This window comes from Homo sapiens, chromosome 7, assembly GCF_000001405.40.
Source record: "Homo sapiens chromosome 7, GRCh38.p14 Primary Assembly".
NCBI lineage: Eukaryota > Metazoa > Chordata > Mammalia > Primates > Hominidae > Homo > Homo sapiens.
In genome coordinates this window covers 98,651,305-98,659,986 of record NC_000007.14, presented here as the reverse complement: position 1 = coordinate 98,659,986, position 8,682 = coordinate 98,651,305, and the positions used below count along the sequence as shown (strand labels likewise).

General features: G+C 48.2%; 1 long non-coding RNA gene across 3 annotated transcripts; it reads left to right on the top strand.

The window, feature by feature from the left end:
• Nucleotides 1–2,382: 2,382 nt before the first annotated feature.
• LOC105375419 (uncharacterized) lies at nt 2,383–7,563 on the top strand. Of its 3 annotated transcripts, XR_927791.2 has the most exons (4): nt 2,383–2,611; nt 5,689–5,807; nt 5,899–6,016; nt 6,871–7,563. It is a non-coding gene; the product is annotated as an uncharacterized LOC105375419 (long non-coding RNA). The 3 variants fall into 3 exon arrangements; XR_927793.2 differs by lacking the exon at nt 5,899–6,016; XR_927792.2 differs by lacking the exon at nt 5,899–6,016 and having other exon boundaries at nt 5,689–5,820.
• The last annotated feature ends 1,119 nt before the right edge of the window (nt 7,564–8,682 follow it).

The window sequence follows — 8,682 nt, the reverse complement described above, 5'->3', positions numbered from 1 at the left end:
TGGCTCCACCTGCAACTGGAGAAGGTGGTCTTCCTGCAAGTCCTTGTTTCTTTGCTGATTGTCTCTCTCTGGCTGAAATATGAGCCCTGGGAGGCTGAGGGACTCATCTGTATTAACTGTCACCTGGAACGGCAGCAGGCACAGAGCATAAGCCCCAGAAATACTGAGCCCTAGAAATACTGGTGAAAGAGCAGGCCTTGCTCAGCCAGTGGCGGCTTCTTGGTTCCTCTTCTTTCTTTCTTTTCTTTTTTCCTTTTTTTTTTTTTTTTTTGAGATGGAATTTTGATCTTGTTGCCCAGGCTAGAGTACAGTAGTGCAATCTCGGCTCACTGCAACCTCCGCCTCCCAGGTTCAAGCGATTCTCCTGCCTCAGCCTCTCGAATAGCTGGGATTACAGGCATGCGCCACGACACCTGGCCAATTTTTCGTATTTTTATTAGAGACGGGGTTTCTCCGTATTGGTCAGGCTGGTCTCGAGCTCCTGACCTCAGGTGATCCGCCCGCCTCAACCTCCCAACATGCTGGGATTACAGGTGTGAGCCACTGTGCCCAGCCTTGGTTCCTCTTTCTATGTATGTGCAGCTCTAAGAGAAAGGGGGGTGTGTGTGCCAATGGAGGGTCCCAGCCAAAGCTGCCCCTGCCCAGGCATGGGACAATGCATTCCCAGTGCCTCCCAGGGACATGCCAAGCCCTCCCATCCGGTTACCTGGCATCTCCGTGCTGTGACCTCAGAGAAGTCACGGTTACCCTCACTCCCAAACACTTCCCACCTGGAATCACATCGATCAGGCGGGCCAGATGGTTCCCAGAAATAGCAAGACACGGCTGGACAATTTGATTAACTTGCCTAATGAACTCTGAATTCACTCCATTTTTTTTCCATGACAACTGTATTTTCTCTCTAAAATTGTTATTGATTCTTCATATGTGGAGACGTAGGTGGGGCAGGAAAGCACATTTTGCACACGGAGGACAAGAAACCAAGATGTGGAGGTGGAGAGAGGAGGAGGTGGGCGAGGGCAGGACTCAATGTCTATCTTGAGCCCATGGTGGTCTTACGGCCCCTTCGGAAGACTGTCTTACACCTGGCCATTAGTCATCAGTGGAGGGGGGCCAGCTAAGGGGCGGGTATGGTTGCCAGATTCTGCAAATAAAAATACAAGATACCCAGTTAAATCTGAATCCAGGGCCAGGCGTAGTGACTCATGCCTGTATTCCCAGCACTTTGGAAGGCTGCGGCTGGAGAATCGCTTGAGCCCAGGAGTTCGAAACCAGCTTGCCCAATATAGTGAGACCCCCATTTCCACTTAAAAAAACGAATTAGCCAGGTGTGGTGGTGCGCAACTGTAGTTCCAGCTACTGGGAAGGCTGAGGCGGGAGGAGCCCAGGAGCTCCAGACAGCAGTAAGCTGTGAACGTGCCACTGCACTCCAGCCTGGGCAACAGAATGAGACCTAGTTTCGAAAAGATTTTTAAAAATTTGAATTTGGATAAACAAATAGTTTACAGTATAAGTCTATCCTATGTAATATTTGGAATATACTTCTACTAAAAAATAATTTGCTGTGTATCTGAAATTCAGATATTTCTGGGCATCCTGTATTTTATCTGTCAACCCTAAGAGTGGTAAGGTGTTACGTCCTCGGGTGCTCAAAGCTGGGCTGCAGCCCACAGACACCTACTCCCAGAAAGCTGGTCCAAGCAGGGACTCAGATGCTACAGGACCCGCCAATGCTCTTCTAACTGCTGTTCCTTCTTTCTGTCCACCCCGTCCTTCAATGCATAGGTCGGGACTCTTCCTCCCTGATGGGTTTCACGAATCAAGTTCCCACCTGGGTCGCGTCTCTGAGCCAGGAGTCGAGGGACATAAACGTTGCTATTTACTGCAAGAGCTTATCCTGAGCTTGGCCTGCAGGCAGCAGCGCATGTGCCGATTAAACCCGCACACCTCCGTGATGCTTCCCCGCCCATTTATCCAGGAAGGAAACAAGGCTCCAAGCGGGAAGGCGCTTGCTGGAAAGGACTCAAGACTCAAACCCAGTCCCCTGTCCCCGGCCATAGAGGTCACATCTAGAGATTTCCCCAGGAAAGTCACCAGTGTCCCGGCTCTGATGCGTCAGGGTCGGGGCGAGGACAGAGGGGACGAGGCAGTGTGGGGTCAAGGCCCCAACACTCTGGCTAAAAGTGGCCTCTAGGGTGGGCTGGGTAACCGGAGAGGGACTCTTAAGTAGCCGTCTGTGTTCATTTGCTAGGGCGGCTGGGACAGAGTACTGCAAGTCAGATGGCTTAAAACACCACGAATGTGTCCTCTCACAGTGCTGGAGGCCAGAAGTCTGATATTGTGATGTCAGTGGGGCCGCGCTCCCTCTGAAGGCCCCAGGGGAGGCCCCTTCCTTGCCTCTTCCAGCTTCTGGTGGCCCCAGGCCATCCCTGGCTTGCAGATACGTGGCTCCCATCTCTGCCTCGGTCTTCACATGGGGCCTCCCGTCTATGTCTCTCTGTGTGTCCCGTCCTCTTTTTACAGGGACACCAGTCATTGGATAAGGGCTAATGATCCTAATCCAGTGTGAGCTCATCTTAATTAATTACATCTGCAAATGCCCCATCTCCAGGTAAGGGCTCATGCTGCAGCTCCAGGTGGACGTGAATTTGAAGGACACTATTCCACACACTGCACTGTCTATCTATCTATCTATCTATCTATCTATCTATCTATCTATCTATCTATTGTCTATCATCTATCCATCCATCCACCTATCTATTCATCATCTGCCTATCTATCCGTCCACTCATCTATCTATTCATCATCTATCTATCCATCCATCGACCTATCTATCCATCTTCTATCTGTCCGTCCGTCTATCTGTCCATCCGTCTATCTATCCATCATCTATCTATCTGTCCATCTATCTATTCATCTATCTATCCATCTATCTATTCGTCTATCCATCCATCCATCTATCAATCCATTATCTATCTACCTACCTATCCGTGTGTCTGTCTATCTATCTATCTATCTATCTATCTATCTATCTATCTATCTATCTGATATGGTTTTGGATTTGTGTCCCTTCCCAAATATCATCTTGAATTGTAGTCCCCAGTGTCAGGGGAGGGGACTGGTGAGAGGTGATTGGATCATGGAGGTGGATTTCTCTCCTGCTATTCTCTTTCTTTTTGAAACAGAGTCTTGCTCTGTCGCCCGGGTTGGAGTGCAGTGGCGCCATCTCAGCTCACCGCAACCACTGCCTCCTGGATTCAAGCGATTCTCTTGCCTCACCCTCCCAAGTAGCTGGGATTACAGGTTCCCGCCACCACACTCAGCTAATTTTTGTATTTTTAGTAGAGACAGGGTTTCACCATGTGGGCCAGGCTGATGTTGAACTCCTGACCTCAAGTGATCCACCTGCCTCAGCCTCCCAGAGTGCTGGGATACAGGTGTGAGCCGCCTTGCCCATCCGCTGTTCTCATCATAGTGAGTTCTCAGGAGATCTGGTTGTTGAAAAGTGTGTAGCACCTCCCCCTTCTCTCTCTTCCTCCTGCTCTGGCCATGTAAGACGTGCCTGCTTCCCCTTCTACCATGACTGTAAGTTTCCTGAGATCTCCCCAGCCATGCTTCCTGTACAGCCTGCAGAACTGTGAGCCCTCTTTGCTTTATAAATTACCTAGTATCAGGTAGTTCTTTATAGCAATGTGAGAATGGACTTTATAGCTGTGTGAGATACACAATCGGGTGCTGGCTGGTGGCATCAGATCTGCCTGCTTGCTGAAATGCTCCTGAAGCTTGTTTTCCAGGACTCTATTTTGCACTGACCCCCTGTCACCTGCCACACTTGCATGGTTCCTGCTCCTCTCCTGACCCCTAACCCAGGAGTGTCCAGGCCTGGCACCCTGCCCTCTGCTCCCTGGGTGACTTTATGGCTTAAATTCAACTTCCATGCCTGGGCCCTGACATGTTCTTGTCCCCATATCTGACCGCTCTCCCAACTCCAGGCTGATGTGCACACCTGTGCACACCTCCACCTGGTGTTCACAGACACCTACAGCTCCAACGTCTAAACACAACAATATGTCCCTCAGACTCCCTTTCCCTGGTGCTCCAACTCAGCAAATGGCATTGCCGTCCCCCGGGCTCTGGCCCAAACCCTGAGTCATTCTCATACCTCTCCTCCTCTTGCACCCACGGCCAATCTGCCGGGAACCCCTGTCAGTTCCACTTTCAGAACAAACCCAGAATCCAACCCCTTCTCACCACCTCCACTGCCAGCACCCTGGACTCAGCCCCCACTGTTTCCCTCCTGAATTACTAGAATAGGCTCCTAGGCCTCCTTGCTTTCTTTCAGGGCCTCTACACTCTCTTCTCACAGCAGCCAGGATGCTGCTGTTACAACCTGAGTCAGATGATCATTGTCTTGACCAATCCTCCAGAGGCTCTCCACAAGCCTGGAGTGAAATCTGAGTCCTGACCCAGGACATCCAGGCCTCAGAAGCTGCAGCTCCAAGACCTGTCTTGTCTCATGTCTCACCATGTTACCTTGGATTATCCTGCCTCATGGACCTTTCCTACCCTGAGTTACTCTGAGAATGTCCCACCCCCGGGTCCTGGCACTTGTGATTCTTTCTACCTATATATATTGTATTAGTTCCGTTTCTCTGATACAGTCACCATGTGACTAATACAATCATCATGTGACTTTCTACACATTTTAGTATCTATGTTACTAAGATGATAGATCGATAGGTAGGTAGTGTGTTAGTCCATTCTCACACTGCTATACAGAACTATCTGAGAGTGGGTAATTTATAAAGAAATGAGGTTTAATTGGCTCATGGTTCTGCAGGCTGTACAGGAAGTATGGCTGAGGAGGCCTCAGGAAACTTTGAATCATGGCAGAAGGGGAAGCAGGCACGTCTTACATGGCCAGAGCAGGAGGAAGAGAGAGAAGGGGGAGGTGCTATACACTTTTAAACAACCAGATCTCCTGAGAACTCACTATGATGAGAACAGCAAGGGAGAAATCCACCCCCATGATCCAATCACCTCCCACCAGTCCCCTCCCAGACACTGGGGATTACAATTCAACATGAGATTTGGGCGGGGACACAAATCCAAACTGTATCAGATAGATAGATAGATAGATACATACATACATAGATACATAGATAGATAGATGATAGGTAGATAGATGACAGATAAACAGACAGATGATAGATAGTTGACTGAATGATTGATAGATTAATAGATGATAGATAGGTGACAGATGATAGAGATAGATAGATGATAGATAGATAATAGATGATAGATTGGTGATAGATAAATAGATAGATGATAAGTAATAGATAGGTGACAGACAGATGACAGATGATAGATAGATAGATATATGATAGATAGGTGATAGATAGATGATAGATAGAAGATAGATAGATGATAGATAGATCATAGATAGATAGATCATAGATAGATCATAGATAGATGATAGATAGGTGATAGATAGATGATGGATAGATCAATAGATGATAAATGATAGATAGGTGATAGATGATAGATGATAAACAGGTGATAGGTGATAAATGGATAGATGATAGATGATAGACAGATAGATGATAGATAGGTGATAATGATAGATAGATGATAGATAGAAGATAGATACATAGATGATAGATAGATAACTATATACATATTATTAAGTTGCAGAGTCAAACCCATCCTGGTATCAACCTGCTTTTAGTACTTCCAGATTCGTAAGTCAAGAAATCCTCCTTCCTGCTTGTACCAGTTGGCAGTGGGTTTTCTGGCATTTGTACCTGGTATGTGTAGCAGGTGGGTTGGGTTTGGTGGGAGTTGGTGGTGGGAGTGGGGAATTGTTTGCCTCAATCTGTTCCCCTCGTATGGCTGCAGCTGCTCCAGGCCCTACACCAGTACCCACAAAGTCCAGAAGAGGAGTGAGATGATTTTTGTTCCCACACACTGAGTGAGAGCTCCAAGGCTGATTTTGACCGGATGTTCTCAATCCAGGGTAAAGTCCTATGCCTTCCCAAGGTCATACACTTCAAACTTCCTGCATCTGGTGATTGAACCAGGCTAGAGAGGTCTGGCTATGGTGCACTCTGACAGGCCATCCTCTCTCCAGGGTCCCTCCAGGTCAGCCGAAGCTTTGTTGGGCCTGTGGTTACAGCTCCTCTTTTCCTTCAGCTCAGCCCTGCTTTCTCCTCCTCCTTTTCACAGCTGTTGCTTCCTAATGAGTCCCTTGTTCCCCAGACTCCATATTAGCACCTGCATCCAGAGAACCCACCTGCTGCATGTGCTTTTTTCTTCCCGCTTTCTTGAGGTATAATTGACAAAACTTGCATATATTCAAGGAGTACAACTTGACATTTTGATATACGTATGTATTGTGGGATGATCACCAGCATCAAGCTAATTAACAAAGCCATCGACACTCCCTGTTACTGCCTTTTTTTTTTCCTTTTTGTGGTTGGAACACTTGAGATCTACATCTTAGTGAATTTCAGGCATACAATACAGAGTATTAACTAATGTTACCATGCTGTACATTAGCTCTCTGGAGCTTTTTAAAATTTCTGAGACAGGATCTTGTTCTGTCACCCAGGCTGGAGTGCAATGGTGCAATCATAGTTCACTGCAGCCTCAAACCCCCAGGCTCAAACAATCCTCCTGCCTCAGCCTCCCAAGTAGCTGGGACCACAGGTATGCGCCACCATGCCTGGCTAATTTGTAAATTATTTGTAGAGATGGGGGTCTCCCTATGTTGCACAGACTGAGCTCTCTGGAACTTGTTTGTCTTGCAGTATTGAAAACTTCTACCCTTTGACCACATTCTCCCCATTTATTTCTCTTCCTACCCCCTAGCAACCACCATTCTACTCTCTGTTTGAATGAGTTTGAAACATCCACATCTGAGTGAGGTCAATGCCGGTGAACAGAGAGACAGAGGGAAAGAATTTCAGAATATCCTTAAAAATCGCAGCACCTGGCAGATCCTGCCTCACACCTCAAGGGCCTGTGTGGGGTCCTAGGTTCATCCCTGATCCATCTCAGAGGTGCGGCGATCACTGATCCATCTCGGAGACTTTTGAGCTTGGACCTGACATTTGCCACTTCCTCTCCTCCTCACTGGAGACAGAGTGCAATCTGTTTCTGCAAAGCAAGAGCACTTTAAGAGGGTGGAAGGGCACTCATCTGTGTCAGGGTCATGTCTGTGTGCAGATCCCCCAAGGTCATTGTTGAGAGAAAGGGGAAGATGTTGGGGAGGCCGGGCAAGCATGTGCCGGCTACCCTCACACTTGCACATAGCATATGTCAAGTCACCTAAAGGAAACCTGAATGATATGATCAGAGACTCTGCATAGGATTACTTACTGGTGGTGCCCTGGGTTGAACACAGAGGTCGCCAAAGCAGGACCAGCCATCATGGCGATAGAGGCCCCATGCAGATAAACCCTGTGCATGAAAAACCTAGGATTTTAGAACAAATTGAGAAGGAGGTCAGGCATTCAAGACCAGCCTGGCCAACATGGTGAAACCCCGTCTCTACTAAAAATATGAAAAGTTAGCCAGACATGGTGGTGGGCACCTGTAATCCCAGAACTTTGGGAGGCTGAGGTGGGCGGATCACCTGAGGTCAGGAGTTCGAGACCAGCCTGGCCAACATGGCAAAACCCCATCTTTACTAAAAATACAAAAATTAGCTGGGCGGGCTGGCGCACTCCTGTAATCCCAGCTACTTGGGAGGCTAAGGCAGGAGAATCCCTTGAACCCAGGAGGCGGAGGTTGCAGTGAGCTGAGGTTGCTCCATTGCACTCCAGCCTGGGCAATAAGAGAGAGACTCTGTCTCAAAAAAAAAAAAAAAAAAAGTTATTTACAAAAATATCTCTGCCAAGGCAACTGGATTCTTTTTCAGGGTCAGCAGTCTGTATCCACACCAGGGTGGCCATGAACACATGCCTGTTAGACTTCCCACTGCAGAGAGGGTGACTGGCCCACAGCCCCAGCTGCCTGTTCTGAAATTCATCACCAAGTTCACGCCAAGGCCATATGTCTTGCAGGCTGCTCCCAGCCCGTGATGGAGTGTGCCGGGGACACTGGGTGAGGCCCGTTCCTGGACCATGCAGGACTCCTCTGATGAATAACTTTGCCGAGGACACCCCATCTGCTTTGGCAAAACTTTCTTAGTCTCGGATTTTTATTTTTATTTTTTTGAGACAGAGTCTGGCTCCGTCACCCAGGCTGGAGTGCAGTGGTGTGATCTTGGCTCACTGTCACCTCCGCCTCCCAGGTTCAAGTGATTCTCCTGCCTCAGCCTCCTGAGTAGCTGGGATTACAGGCACCCGCCACCATGCCTGGCTAATTTTTGTATTTTCAGTAGAGATGGGGTTTTACCATGTTGGCTGGGCTGGTCTCGAGCTCCTGACCTCAAGTAATTGGCCCATCTCAGCCTCCCGAAGTGTTGGGATTACAGGCGTGAGCCACCTCGCTCTGACCTAAGATTTCTCCTACTTGTATTAGTTTCTTATAGGTGCTGAAACACATGACCACAAACTGAGTGGCTTCAAACAACAGAAATGTATCATCCCACAGTTAGGAGGCCAGAAATCTGAAATCAAGTTGTGGGCGGGATTGGTTCCCTCTGGAGGCTTTCAGGGAAAATCTGTTCTGTGCCTA